The sequence below is a fragment of the Homo sapiens genome, chromosome 15 (genome assembly GCF_000001405.40).
Source record: "Homo sapiens chromosome 15, GRCh38.p14 Primary Assembly".
Taxonomy (NCBI): domain Eukaryota; kingdom Metazoa; phylum Chordata; class Mammalia; order Primates; family Hominidae; genus Homo; species Homo sapiens.
In genome coordinates, this window is record NC_000015.10 from 100,636,792 (window position 1) to 100,652,790 (window position 15,999).

At 39.8% G+C, this 15,999-nt stretch overlaps 1 protein-coding gene and 1 pseudogene across 1 annotated transcript in view; one reads left to right on the forward strand and one right to left on the reverse strand.

Annotated features, from left to right (window-relative positions):
- ASB7 (ankyrin repeat and SOCS box containing 7) overlaps positions 1-14,910 on the forward strand; it is a 49,113-nt gene extending 34,203 nt beyond the window's left edge. The window contains exon 6 of the mRNA NM_198243.3: positions 11,532-14,910. Coding sequence (NP_937886.1) covers positions 11,532-11,671 — 140 coding nt within the window. The 3' untranslated portion in view covers positions 11,672-14,910. The remainder of the gene's footprint in view (positions 1-11,531) is intronic.
- WDR12P2 (WDR12 pseudogene 2) lies at positions 8,442-10,028 on the reverse strand (annotated as a pseudogene).
- Positions 14,911-15,999: the final 1,089 nt, after the last annotated feature.

Genomic DNA, 15,999 nt, shown 5'->3' on the forward strand with positions numbered 1-15,999 from the left:
AGTGTGGACTTTAGCCGGGGCTTCTCAAGATTGTTTTAGGTGCCTATGAAATCAAAACGAATTTCCTAACAATACTAAGATGTGATTTGCCTTTTTCACTGTGATGACATTTGTGTTGATGGTGTACAAGCAGTGGCAGGTGAAACTGCTGGCATGTTAGCGTGAATCGAGACAGTGGCCCCAGCCGGTACTGGTCGTTGTTCCCCGCCAGACACTCTCAGGAAAAGACATTCCAATTCCACTTAAGAATGTCCGTGATGAGGCGGTAAAATTAATTTTATTAAATCCTGTTCCTGCGAATGCTTTTTAAATGTTCTGTGGGATGGAAATGGCAAGCATTCTTACTGCGTACCAAAGGGCAGTGATGATGATTGAGGAAAAGCAACTTCATTTGTTTGAGCTGAGCCGGCAGCTTTTTCATGGGACACCATCTTTACTGGAAAGAGTAGAAGCTAAACTCTAGCCGTTTAGTCCTGGGTATTTGGCAGACATTTTCTTGAAAATGAGTAAAATTCACGTGTCACTTTAAGGAAAACAACTGACAGGACTTAGGGCCAGTCATAAAATTTGAGCTTTGCAAATGAGGATTTTAGAAAACTTGTATTTACTGCTGTGAGATTCGTAGTATCTAGAGACTTCTTCAATCAGTGGAGATATTAACAAAAGTGATTTTTTGATCTCATGTAATGGAACAGGTCAACATTTGGAAGATCCACATAACCCAATGAACCTTGTTTTCCAAATGACTAATGCGTAATGTGACAACAGTCATACATGGATAAACGATCCATTTCAAGTGCAAGGTGAACCAATGGATTTTAATGTAACAGAGTACGAAAGTTCATCAGTTTGGTTCCAGATTTCATATTGTAACTAACCATTAAGAAACACCCACTTGTCTAGTTTTGATGGAGTATCAGAGAAGATCCAAAGTTACTTGAAAAAAGTTATTTAAAAATTCCTTCCTTTTCCAACTGCGTATCTGAGTGAGGCTGGATTTTCTTCAGGTGCTTCAGTCAAGACAGCATGTTGTAACAGATGAAATGCAGAAGCAGATCTCTGACTCCAGCTGCCTTCTGTGAAGCCAGACATTAAAAGGGATTTACAGAAAACTGTAAGAGGTGCTGTTCTCGCAAAAATCCTTTTTGTTTTGGAAAGCAGCTCTTTTTTTTTTTTTACATAAAAATTTATTTCAATTGATTGTGGATTTTTTCTTATTTTAAGTGAATTGGATAGTTTAAAAATTTCTCAATTTCTAAAATAGTAAATATAGATAAGTATAACTGACATAAAGATTCTTTGAGCTTCTCCAATTTTAAAAGTGCAAGGGGGTCCTAAAACTAAAAAGCTGAGACCTAGTGATATACATTCCCTAAAATCAGATTTTTAAGGGTGTCCTGTTAGCCTAGTGTTTCAGAATTTGATGAATCTCTAATGTATTTCTGTTTAAAGTTAAAATCTGTGGATAATACGAGATGTTATTACATTATTGCTTGCTGTTTACTATCATATTTACTACGTAGGCTCTGCAGAGATCAGTGATTTCCTGAAGTTTGTTTATAAAACTGGCTGGCTAGTCCAAAGGTAGCGTCCACAGTCAGTTACAGATCAGATCCCTCGTTCTCCTCTTTCCTCCCTTCTCACTACTGCACTTGACTAGTCTTAAAGAAAAAGAAAAACTGTGGTTCTCCCGGATACTCTGGAGTCCAGCGGGTTCATCATTCACATCAGTTTGGAAGATAGGACCTTGGATCCTAGGTCCAGGTTTCAGAGGTTCGCCGTGCGCAGTAACATATCAAAGGGGCCAGGAAGTCCTTGAATAAATACATCATTTATTTGTTGACGAGTGTGAACAACTTACTTTCACGGCTTACTTTGACAGAGCATCTTTTTAATTATTATTTTAAGTTCTGGGATACATGTGCTGAATGTGCAGGTTTGTTACATAGGTATACATGTGCCATGGTGGTTTGCTGCGCCCATCAACCCGTCACCTAGGTTTTAAGGCCCGCATGCATTAGGTGTTTGTCCTAATGCCCTCCCTCCCCTTGTCCCCCACTCTCCCACAGGCCCTGGTGTATGATGTTGCCCTCTCTGTGTCCATGTGGTCTCATTGTTAAACTCTCACTTATGAGTGAGAACAGAGCATCTTTTACTCCTGTGGCGGGCTCTGGTCTAGGTGATTCTTAAGTCAGAGAATACGCTAGTTTGGTATTTACTCTCCATAGGAGGCTGAGCTGAGGCAGTGATCTGTTTGTAGTAGACAGTGTTCAAAGACTGGAAGCAACCACCAGTATGCTTTGGTGGTGTGTAACAGGGAGGGCTGGGCTGTATTTTGATTTGTATGTTTTAAGGAGTTAACTGACATGTATTTCTAAAAGAAAAAGATCAAGTAGATGGGAATTGAGTTGTGTAAATGGTTTTGCAGAAGACAGTCTGTCAGGTACTTAAACTAGGTGCTTTCTGGAACATTAATCACAGATATCTGAAGATACTATTTTATAAATATCACAGTAACCCGAAATATTTTTGTTTAAATTTCAGCAGTAGTCAAGTACTGTGTTCTAGCTGTAGAAGTAAGACTTTAAAGGCAGCGTTTCAAACTTTAAAATAACTTAAATAAGGAGTAAGAAAGATCACGACTCCTTTTTTTTTAATTTTAAGAAAGCGGGCTCGAGCTTTCTCAGGTTAAACCCCATATAGCAATAAGTATATGAGCAGCTGTTCGCACAAAATGCCTCTAAAACAAGTGCCTTCCCCTCTGTGTTCCTTTTGCATGCTACTTTGATATTTTTGTAGGATGGTTTATCCAAAGCAATGTTGCGTAGTACAACTCTTTGGAGAAGTAATTTATGTAATACATTTTAACCAGGGGCATTTTTGATTATTGATTTATAATTATATCATAGTCTTACTAGGTTTTTCAGTCCCAGTTATTAAGAATCACTTTTAGAAATAAATAGTACACAATTTTTGGTCAAATTGCATCACATTTTAAGGTTCTTTGATACAGAAAATATCCTGCCCTTTATAGTATTTATATTACTTTCTATTTTTAATATAGGCATCTAGAGATTTTTTGTCATTTGACTTAGTGCAAATGGAAAATATAGTTCAGAGCTCATTTACCTTTGGAAAAAAGCTACCAATAGAAAAATGTCATAAGCCTGATGTTGTATACATTGGGATTCTATCTAAGAGAATACCGTAATTGTTATTTTAAGGAGAGCTGGAAACTGCCTTTGTCCTATAAAGTAAGATTTGTTTAGCACATTTTATACTAGGGTCCCTCTGAAGGGAATTCAGAGGCAAGAGCAAAGGAATAAAATGTGTTTATGGTAGGATTTTTTTCTTTTCTTTTTTGTTTTTTTTGAGACAGAGTCTCACTTGTCACCCATGCTGGAATGCAATGGTGTGATCTCAGCTCACTGCAACCTCTGCCTACAAGGCTCACGCAATTCTCCTGCCTCAGCCTCCTGAGTAGTTGGGACTACAGGCACGTGCCACCATACCCAGCTAATTTTTGTATTTTTAGTAGAGATGGGGTTTCGCCATGATGGTCAGGCTGGTCTCGAACTCCTGACCTCAAGTGATCTGCCCGCCTTAGCCTCTCAAAGTGCTGTGATTATAGGCGGGAGCCACCATGCCCAGCCTATGGTAGGATTTTAAAATGGGAAGCTGAAATAAAACAGAGGTATTGGGCGGCCATCCCAGATGTTGACCTAAGATGGAGAGAGTCTGGAAGTTCAGGTGTGTAGAGCAATCCAGAGGACGCAAATCTTTCACTTCTTCCTTTGTGCCTCCCTCCACCTCCAATTTCTACCCCTCTCCAACCCAAAGAACAACTTTGGAACTTTGTTTTGCCTTCATTTTGCTCACTTTGGGTATTTAAAAATGTTTTTCCTCTCTACCTTTATGAATCCAGGTATTTTTAAACAAATAAGTTGATCCTATCATAAAAACGGTAATGGCGATGTCACAGGGAGGTGATTTAGGATATTTAATTTTCTAAATTATGCCGCTGGCCCTGGTTTTGTAATTTACGCTAGACCCTTCAAAAGATGATTTCCTATTTTATACCAGCCCAATTATTACTAATGATGGGCTTCTTTATAAAATGGAAAGACTAATAACCCTTTGAACTATTATGTAATTCCATTGTAGTTCATTAGTATGAATACCTGGTAGTTTTTTGTGCATCCCCTAAAGGGTTTGTAATTCTTTAAATTATGCTCTTTTGTGAGATGTCTTCCAGTTTTCCCTGTTATGATCCCGTGCACAGGGAAGTAGTTTTCTAACAGGGGAGGAATTAATTTTCTAAGATGCCTAGTAAATGGTGTGCACATTTGTATTGATTTTTCTTCTTTCATTCTCTTTATTCTCTTTCTCTGCCTTCTCTTCTTCTGCCACTGCCCTTCTCTTCCCTTGGCCCTTTAATCTCTGGGATAGTGTATTGTTGAATACATACAGCATTAATAGATGCTCAGTAAATACTTTTAGGCGATCTGTTGACAAAAAAATAAGTACTTCTCTTTCAGTCATAATCTTCTACTCTTAAAATGCCATTTCTGAAAAAAATAGCTCCTTAGACTGTCTTAGAAATGACAGTACTTACCATAAGCAGTCCTTATTATGCCTAAAATTTAGCTCACTTTTCACTCAGCAATACTGGTACATGGCAAGAGAAGTTCATACCTGTACACTCGTGGAGAAACAGTGTAGTGATATCCCTCACTTCATCTCTGCACATCTTTTTATACAGGTAAAAGCCCTCACATCTCTGCCTGATTCAAGTCAGGCAGGGATTTCCAGAATGTGATTTCTACCAGTTTGCTCAGGACTGTTTCCCACTAATGGGTTTCCAGTTGCTTCTTTACTGTTAAACTGTCATCTAGTTTTCTTACTGTCCTGACACCAGGAAGGTGGAGACTCCAGCTTCCAAAGAGGGGCCCTCTACTTTTTTGGTAACCAGAAGCAAACATCCTTACACATATTTAAAAATGTATTTACCTGGTACTTAGTATGTGCTTGGCACTATTGTAAGCACTTTTCCAAAATTAACTTGTTTAATGCTTGTAAAGCGTTTGAGGTGAGTGTGATTATTATGAGAACACAGGCAGGAAGCTAAGGAGCCCAAGATCACAGAGACTGCAAGTGGTGGTGGGGCCAGGAGCCAAATCCAGGCAGCCTGGCTCCAGAGTTGATGCTTTTAACCACTGTGATATGCCTCCATCATTAAAGGAAATTCTGCAGACAGGAGGTACACATGGTCAAGAAACCTTTAAAAGGTCAGATTCTCCCAACAACACACATTTAAAGGAAAAGAAAAATTAGTCTAGAGCATTTCAACATATTGACTAGAGCATTTCAACAAATTTAGGCCTCAGAATGTGCATTTTTCCCTGGGAAGGGCTTATGCAGAGATAAATAACTTGTGAGGATGGTAGCATTTCTGTCAGTGCTTCCCTTGAATTGAAGTTGTTGGCTCATTTTTGCCCTCTTGCATCTTATCATAGACAGTGAAGAAAAGCCAGTGATACTTAACGGTATTCTGCCTGAGGAATCTACTTAAGTAGATCATTAGGTCATTAGGACATTTCCTATTTACCACATTACCACATGTGACAGTGTTGACAGACTTTGCACTATTACATACATACAAGGCTTCCCCGTCTTCCAGCTTCTAGTAACAGTCAAAAAACTTTTTCATACAGCCCCAACCAACAGGCTTCTTAAAGCCCTTCTGGCTTCCTTGTAACACTCACCTCCAAGCCCTCCCACTGCCTGGTACCAAGGGCAAAGCCCCACTTTCAGGTCCCAGAGTCTCACTCAGTTATCTAATGCTGCAGAACTTTAGTGGCTTAAAACAACAAGAGACATTTGTTTTACTTCCCTGCTCCACACGTTATTTTCTGGAGCAATTTGACTGGGGCCTCTCTGCTTTGAAAATGGCTCACTCTTGCGGCCGGGCGCGGTGGCTCATGCCTGCCATCCCAGCACCTTGGGAGGCCGAGGCAGGCAGATCACCTGATGTCAGGAGTTTGAGACCAGCCTGACCAATATGGTGAAACCCTGTCTCTGTTAAAAATACAAAAATTAGCCAGGCGTGGTGATGCATGCCTGTAGTCCCAGCTGCCTGGAGGCTGAGGCAGGAGAATCGCTTGAACCCTGGAGGTGGAGGTTGCAGTGAGCTGAGATTGTGCCACTGCACTCCAGGCTGGGCCACAGAGTGAGACTCTGGCTAAAAAACAAAACAAAACAACAACAACAAAAAAGGCTGGCTCAGGTGGCCGGCAAGTTGGTGCTGGCAGTTGGCCGGGAGCTCAGCCAGGGTTGTCTGTCAGTGACCTCAGTTCCCTTGTATAGGTTGCTAGGGCGTCTTGGTGGAATGGTGGCTGTGTTGCAGTAGTGAATGTCCCAAGAGTCTGGCAAAAGCTGCATCACCTTTTATGACTTAGCCTTGGAAGTTACTTAACAACATTATCACCATTATCATAGGCCCACCCAGTTTCAAGGAGAGGGAACATAGACCTCATCTCTTAATGATAGGAGTATCCAGCCTCACTGTGGAAAGGCATGAGAGATAGGAGGTAATGTGGTCATCTTTGGAGAGAACAGTCTGTCACAAAACAAATCCATATCAGCAGATCCCCCATTCCATAACCTTTTGTCTCAGTCCCTTCTTCTTTTTTTTTTTTTTTTTTTTTTTTTTGAGGCAGAGGCTGGCTCATTCTGTCTCCCAGGCTGGAGTGCAGTGGCGCAATCTTGGCTCACTGCAACCTCTGCCTCCTGGGTTCAAGTGATTCTCCTGCCTCAGCCTTCTGAGTAGCTGGGATTACAGGTGCCCGCCACCACGCCTGGCTAATTTTTTTTATATTTTTTTAGTAGAGACGGGGTTTCACCATGTTGGCCAGGATGGTCTCAATCTCCTGACCTCGTGATCCGCCTGCCTCAGCCTCCCAAAGTGCTGGGATTACAGACATGATGCACCGCGCCCAGCCAGCCCCTTCTTTTTTTTACCTTAGCTAAGCAAATTCTAGTAATTTAGTTTTTACCACTATTTTGGATGATACGTTTTCATTTAAGTATGCCTGTATACACATACGTCAACTCTTTCCTCTTCTGTTTTTTGCCTGAATATGTTATGGTGGTTCTTTTTATTAATATTAAAAAGGGCCTGGCATGGCGGCTCATGCCCTTAATCCCAGCACTTTGGGAGGCTGAGGCAGCTGGATCACCTGAGGCCAGGAGTTTGAGACCAGCCTGACCAACATGGTGAGACCCCATCTCTACTAAAAATACAAAAGTTAGCTGGGCGTGGTGGCACACGCCTATAATCCCAGCTACTCGGGAGGCTGAGGCATGAGAATAGCTTGAACTTGGGAGATGGAGGTTGCAGTGAATTGAGATTGCACCACTGCACTCCAGCCTGGGCAATACAGTGAGACTGCATTGCAATAAATAAGTAAATAATACTTAAAAAGAGCCCGTCATCTATTAGGAAAATCAAATTCTTTAAAGAAAGAAGATTCACATGTAATTCACATTCCAGTTTGCATTTGCAGATCAAATACTGTAAGCATTTACTGAAAAATGACAATGATAATTTATTCTTTTCCTAAAGTAGCCCATGAATAGTGTTGAAAAATAATTCAAAACAGGCTTGGAAATGATTTGCTGTTGACCTGAGTGTGTTTTGCAGCACGTTGACTGTTTTATACTTTAAGGACAAGCCTATTAAGCATTCATTCAACTCATATTCGCCGAGTACCGTGTCAGCAGTTGGGTTTACATTGGCAAATGGGGCCAGACATGGTCCTCCCCTCATGGAGCATGTCATATAGTGAGGAAGATGGGCATTAATTAACACGTAATCACCAAATAAATGTGAACTCACAACCTTATTAAATGTTATAAAGGAGAGGAACTCTGGGAGTATCTGATGGTGAATCCTGACATAGTCTCCTGTGATGAAGTGCTATTTTGGCAGAGATCTGAAAGGTGGAGGAGACATAATCTTCCCAAGAGGCACATGAGTGTGTGTGTGTCACATCCCTGTACAGATCCATGTACAGACATCTGTGGATACACATACTCCTAGTTTACAGACATTTCCAAGAAAGCTGTCACTTCTGCTGCCATTCTGTTAAGAGACCACATAGCAAGTAACCTCTCGAAAAGCGTATGTTCATACAGGCCTTACAGAGCAGAGGTCTAAGTCAGCCTTTGTCATTTATGAAGAAGTACTTCCTTTTGAATAACGGTGATCACTGTAAGCAAGTACAATGGATATGAGGGATAAAGTACAAGAATAGTTTTCCAAGTATGGTCTAGTGGGCCCTGGAGTCCCCAAGACCCTTTTAGGGTAACTGTGAGGTCAAAATGATTTCTTCCCTTTTTTTCTTTTTTAAATAGAGAATGCAAGCCACAGTTTCTGTTTTATAAACACGAACTTTTGTATTATAAATACAAAATAAGAAAAGACAGTGATATGTTAGGTGTTATGAAGGGTGAAAACTTTATATAAACTTCAAAAGGCTGCTTTCTGCATCTGCATCAATGTAATTTCATGATTCTCTACCAATTTTCATTTATAGAAAGAATCTCTATAATCAAATTATCATTCGAGTTCATGCCCCCCGGAATATCTGTAGGAATACAGTTTATTATCTGCTCCTCCACTCGGAAGGAGCCCTGTGTCTGTCTAGTCTGCTCTCAGAACTTTCTCTTCATGAGCAGCCACATCATAGAGAGGAGCCTTACAACTTCTTGAATCCCACAGCTTGACGGTGTTATATAAGGATCCTGAAATCTGCTGTGGTTCATGGGTAGGAGACCGTTTTACTGATGTCTCCCAACCTGTATGTGAGGTTAGGGACGGCAACACGAAAGAACCATCTTTAGTTTGGGGATCCCACAGTCTGATATGCCTATCTGTGCTTCCAGATGCTAAACATTTACAAAGTGGAGAATAGGAAATACAATTAAACACTTTATTTCCTGTAAAGTTGACTTAAGATTGCCAAACGCGACATCCCACACGCTAATTTCATGGTCCCAAGATACGCTGCAGATTTCTTCAGCATCTGACCACAGCACTGAGGAGATTGCTTCCTTGTGGCCAGAGAAGGTCACTATGGGAGTCCTTGTTAGTCCCAACTGCTCTGTTTTCTGTTTCTTTCTTGGTCAGTTTGTGGATTCCTCCATTTCATCTTCTTCTGTAGGGACAGTAGACCAGATCCTTAGCATCTTATCTCAGGAGCCACTGCAAAATTTAGTTCCTGAGCTATCAATAGCTGTGGAATCTACACTTGGGCAGCAGCATAGGGTTTTCACTTTGTTTCTCTGGACATTCCACTCCCATAAGAGAATAGTCTGATCCATAGAGCCACTCAATAGTAACACAAACTGTCTTTTGTCACCCAGGCCACATCTGTTAACAATATCCATGTGTCCCACAATTGTCAATGTTGACTTTCCTTCCAAGGACCAGATTCGAGAAGTCTCATCATAAGAACCAGTCAAGATCCATACCTCTGTCCCTTGAATTGAACTGGTCCACTCATCAAGGACACTTCATTCTGGTTGGGGTGCGGTGTACTTCTCCGCGTATTCTCTTTCCACAACTTCTTTTAAGGAGGTGTTCTCCCGTTCCATGTGTTTGACCAAGGGCATTCACAGAAACTGACCCTTAATAAGGAAATCAAACTCCACATATTTGTGGAACTCATTTCTGCCCTTTAGTAATTAATTGATGATGTTACTAAGGTCAACACTTTAAGAGACAGCAGGGATTGAGAAGGCAACATCATTGATGGCCTATTTCTTGTGATCAGTGTAGAAGCTTGTTTGCAGCTGAGCCATGTCAGGGAGTGTACACGACTTGCCCACAGTTATGGGTTAGTAGGCTGAGAACGGGAGCTCCTGTCTCTTAGGACTACAAAGAGACAGCTCAAAATTACACTGCACAGGTAAGCGAGAAGTTGCGGTGTAATCCCGGACTCTGTTTTCTCTCCATGGGTCTCCTCCTGATTTTCATAATAACACTGAGACATGATTTGCCTTTCTCTCATTCCTTTTATCATGAGTGTCAGTTTTTTCCAGAGACGAGGTGGTGTGATTGATGTGACTTATCTCAACAGATTGAATTCAGAAGCATATATGAAAATTCAGCTATCATCTATTAAACCATACATTAAAAGCTTTGCAAAAATGTGAAAGAATGACGTTCTTGTTAAATTTTTTTTTGGTTTTGGAAAATATAGTTACTTTTCATAATGATGTGTTATTTATGTTAACATGTAATGGTTTATTAGAATGAATTTAAAAGTATTTCTAAAATGTCTGTTTTAACTTATAATATGGCATTTACTATAGAGATAGCCCACATAAAAGTTTCTGGGGGTTCGCAATAATTTTTTAAAGTGTAAAGGAGTTTTGAAAACAAAAAGTTTGAGAATGACTGAAAAATGGCATTCAACTTGACTTTAAGCATGTTACTTAATCTCTCTGAGACTCTATAAAATGGGGATGATGATCAAAGTACTTCCCTCGTAAAAGGATGAAAGGAGTTAATACATGTCATGAGCTCTTAACAATACATGGCGCAGAGTAAGTATTCAATATATATTAGCTTTATTATCATGTTTAATATGAAAGCAAAACTTCCTTGACTCCAAACACTACTGAAGCACAGTTGAAGAATTCTTCCTTGTTTTTGGAGCCATCTGTATTGTTTTTGTAAAACAAAATATTCCAAAGGGAAAGAAATAGGATTTTGTGATTTTTCTTTTGAATTGAGATATAACGGGTTTTTATTGGCAAGTGATCAGGGTGTGGAAGCTTGAAGCGATGTAGATTCAGAATACCTTGAGGCGCTTTTTCACACCCCCTTCTGCTGCACTCCTCAACTGTCAGCCTTACAACCAAGGTTCTGCTGTGTTCAGAATCACGGAAAACAGGTGAGCAGATCTGGAAAGCTTGTTTGGAAAGCTCCACAGAGACCGTGGTGGGTGTCCGGGCTCCAGTGTCCTAGACCCAGAGCTGAAAGGGAGGCTCACAATAGGGGACATCTCTTTCAGTCCCCACACTTTTCAGATTGAGAAGCCAAGGCTCAGAGGAATGATTGGCTCACAGTGGCTCACCCAGCGTGAGAGAGACCTAGTCAGGACGAGAACCAGAATTTTCCTGATTTATAACAGAAAGGATATGAGGCTTAGAATCAAAACTGTTTTTGGTCTCAGTTGAAAGCCTTAATTGGTTGTCTGATATTAAGCAACTTGTTTACATCTGATACTCAGTTTTCTTATTGGTAAAATGGAGTTGAAAATATCCACCATCCCACGGTTGTGAAAAGGATCAAATAAGGCATCGCATGAAGGTCCTAGGACACTTTGAGTTGGTATCTTTCCGGTCCTTTGCATGTCAAGTCCATAGAGAGAACTTCCAGGGAAATGAACAGTTCTTTTCAAAAGTGCCTTAAATATTGTGCTTTGTGGCTTTGTAACATTTTCTTTTTTCTGTCTTTTTAGGACAGCCCAGAAACTTGCAGGACCTGTGCCGAATTAAAATTCGACAATGTATAGGCCTTCAAAACCTAAAGCTACTTGATGAACTACCAATTGCCAAGGTCATGAAAGACTACTTAAAACACAAATTTGATGATATCTGATATGCCAGAACTGTGAGCAAGATTAGGAGTTCTATTCTAGATACTTAAAAGGCTTTTTGCCTTGCACAAAGTATATCCTATGCAATTTCTGATTTGCTGTGAAATCAGAAAGCAGGTATACACTTTTGGGTTTTCTGTTTGTTTGGTTGGTTTTCATTGTAGGGGAGGGATTTTTTATATATATATAAAAACACACACCACATGCTTGAAGGTCTTAATTTGGTTTCTTGGTCCAAGTTTAAGAGGTCCAAGCTTTGTATACAATACTGCATTTAGAAAAATTGTCTTTTCTTAAATGACACAAGCAGGTTTAGAGTGGAGAATTTACCCTTTCCAAATTTATGGTTCCTTGGTAAGCACGGTATTCTAAACCAGCAGAGCACTTGTTAACGTTTGGAGGCACAGTTTCACCCAGGGCGACCCTGGGTTCTTTTGGAAAATGCCCTAAGAAATGTTTGAAGTAACGCTGTCACCTCATTCATTTTTAATGAGTACAAACTGGCCGTTTCAAACTGTTCTTTTTCCTAATTAATGTAGCTTTCGGATGACATAAATCCAGTATCTCTGCTTATGACATAAATCCAGTACCTCTGCTTTTCTTTTGCTGTGCTCTTGTTTTTAACTTATTTTTTTTTTAACAACTGTAGTACACTACCCTGAGACACTGCATCTCGATTTCTATCTCTAGTTAGAGTTGTACTTTTAAAAAAATTAACGGGAAAGAAAATAACTTTGTGAAGCCAGTGTATTCTGTTTTTAAAACTGTGCCTGCAGTGCAATACTCCTTCTGGTGTATTTTATCCATTATTTCACTTGCTGGTCGTCATTTCACAGCCAGCTTTGACATGCCCGTGAGGACAGGAGCCGCCGCTTCAGTTGTCACTGCAGAGCCATCGTATGTCAGTTGCAATTTCCATCTGAAGCTATGTCTTTGACTTCACTTTAAGCAGAAAATTTTGTACCCTGGTGGTCGAGTCTTCCCTTAAAAATTGTTAAATCATTTGGCTTTAATGGTTCAATAATTTGGGGTGGCTTCATGGTGTTTCTTTTCTTCCCAGTTTAAAAAAAAAACTTTTTAAGCGTAAAATCTTTAAGGGGTACACATTTATAAGTCTGGCTAATTTCTAATATGCTAATTAAACATTTCCCATTTTAAGGTTATATACAGTGAGGCTCTTCAGGACAATTATTTTCTGGGTTGATTGGGCATATGTTTGCCGTGTAAACACGGATATGATAAAGTGTCAGTAACAATGGAAAAGGTCCCAGAGGCATTAGGCATCTAAGAGGATGCCCTCAGAAACGTATTCTGGCTTGATTTGTGTTATTAACTTCAGAAGAACCTTTTCAAATGTCCCAGTATCGTTCTTAGTGCTTTGGGAAAAAATATTTAACACACTGTTAATAAATTTGTTATCAGAAGTTTACAAGACGAAGGGCTTCTCTCGTCTGAATTTCTAGATTTAAGTCATGAAGTGTAAAACTGTTTCACCCAGAAGTGTAACTAAGCAGAACTAGGAGTTTTCTCTGGCTTCACCTTTTTCAGAGCCAGCAGTGCTGTTTTCTCAAGCACAGCGTTTGCTCTTAGACTCTGATCTGCTTGTGCCTAAGCATTGCACAGGTTTCCGAAGACGGGCAGCTTCAGAGAAGAGGATTATTCGGGAGATTGCTGGTGTGGCCCATAGACTCTTTGGCATAGACTCTTTCGCAGGCAGCCACTCTGAGTGTGGCCAGTTCTATAACCATCCCCAAACTAGCTGGAGCCTGATGGATAGGAACGGGTAGTCTGTCCTCTTCCCCATAAAAATGTTCCAAAAAGTTATCTCCAGAGAGAGTCCCTTATGAAGACAGTTGCCAAGCTGTATTCTCATTCTTTAAACCAATACCCAGGTCAGGGCTAGTTCACACTAGCACTGTTAGGGACATGGTGTGGCTAGAAATGAATTGAGTGTGACTTCTCCCTACAACCCCAGGCCCAGGGATAGGAGGAGGCAGAGGGGTGCCTGGAGTTTCTGCACTCTCATCAGTGATGTTCATGTTACACTTGCACAAGGGCTGATTTCCACGTATGTGTGTGTTAATTTATTCACTTAGTTTCAAAAGATTTTCTCTCCCCAGCCATTCAGAGGTTTCCAAACTAAGCCACTGAGTTTGAGTCAGGGAATTCCACGTAAAAAGATCAGATTAAGGTAAATTCTTTGTTCTGTATTGCTGCTGTGACTTCAGAAAAAAAAAATTATGAGAGCTCTTCCTGGAATTTTGAAATTTCTATTTAATGAAGAAGTGTATAATTCCATTATTTATTGTTTGAGGTTTGATTTATCTGGAAGCTTAAAAAGAATGTTTTATTTTTGTTGTTAATAAAATCCCAATCACATTTCACAATAACTAAAATGTCTCCAGGTGGGTTACTGGTAGATGATAGTGGTGACACCTGCAGGTCTGCATTTGAATTGGATTCACAGAGAAGCATTCCATGGTCACATAATGAATAGGGAGAACAGATATTTTCAGAAAAATCAACCGATTGTTTTTTCCAGAAACAGAACAGAAAATGTTCAGAATATTTTCAAATTTGTCAGATTCTTTTATGTTTCCTTTGAAATTTATTATTTAAGCCTATTACTAAACCTTTATAAAAATATATTTGGCAAATACACCAAAGAAACCAGCTTACAAAAGATTATGATCATTAATGAACTGCAAACCTCATCTTTCGAAAACAAGGTTTTGTGTTTTTTTTTTTTTGTAAATATTTGTGTTTATAAATGTACAGCAGAGTAAGAGTGTTTTTTAGATTATTTAATTCCCATATTTCTAAACTATTTACTACACAGTAATCCATGCCTGTTAGTTTGGAGGACTTGACTGTCTCATTTTTTAATTCATTGTCAGTCATGCTTGGAACAGCATTTCCACTAGAGAATCCAGCGTTCTGGCAGTAGCAAGAGTACACATCTGGAGCATGAGGGACTCTAGCATGACTCGTCAGATGCACACCCCAAGAGACAAGAATGTGTAGTTTAATGACCGGCGTGGACCATACGAAATTGAGATTCTAACTTTCCTGCAGGAGTGCTCATGAGCCCAGAATGTGATTGGGATAAGGCCATTTGCCCACAAATTTAGCTTTCATGTAACTCCTAGTGTGTTATATCATAATGTATTTTGTTCTTCCTTTTTAATGTAAGTTTTGCTTTGGGTCAATTTGAATTAAAAAAATCAAATCTGATTTAAAACATGTTGGAGTTGTATTTTATTTCCAGTCTACCTTAAGTTTTTAATATGTCCAGCTATTTGGTGAAAATAAATAAAACTCTATCCTTCCTTCATCAGCATTTTAGATCGCTGGGAGTTGTTTAAGAATATGATGATGTGGAAAACAATACCACTCTCCATTGTCACCAGATAAGCCATTTCTTACCCTCCTTTAATTTGTTCAATGCATTCTGCAAATACCCACCAACAAAAGATGATCACAGTGTTGAGTGTATCGACCCAGCACTGGGCCTTCTTGGGCCGTAATCGCCACCTGCCCCGTGCGTGCCACACCTTGACTCACGACAGGGTTTAGACCACAGCGCTTCTAAACGTAGGACAGCATGCAGTCAAAGCAATGCATCTGACGGAGTTACCCTGCAGGAGATGAAGCAAAACAACTTTGATTTCACATTTCCTCTATAAAACATAAGCACAGCTTGATTCAGGAGAGACCCGAAGTGAATGTGGATGATGGTGTGGCACTAAGAGAAAGGGAAGAGGGACTGCTTAGCACCCCGTGCAGAGATGGGATGGTTTGGAACTATAATCTTGTTGCAGCCTTGTCCAGGGTTTGGCACAAATGAAGGCCAAGAATAGGACATTTGAAACTATTTCTAATGATCAGCAGGGGAGTTCAGCTTTGAAAAATTGCTGTGTTGCTTGGAAACCTTGAGATCATTCCTTTTCCAATATGACAGAAGCAGTGTATTGTTTTCTCAGCTGAAAGACAGTTTACAAAAATGGTTTACAGCTATTGATAAAACATTATCTACTTGATAAAAAAATAGTTCCACATCTCACTTATTTGGATATCTAAGATGAAAGAAAATGGATTTGTATCCTCTGCCTGTATTTATATAACTTAATGTAACTGTGTGTGCTTAACTGAAGGAGTAACAGGGAAGTTTTACAAGTTTTGATGATAGAACTCAAGATACTAAGTTACAAAGATAATTTTTCTTTATTCTGTCTTTAGTTATTTTGTTATTACCTGTTAAATGAAACAAAGGGTCAGCCATCATATGGCCCACTGGATCTCATGACTTCTCTTGTATACCCCTGACAAA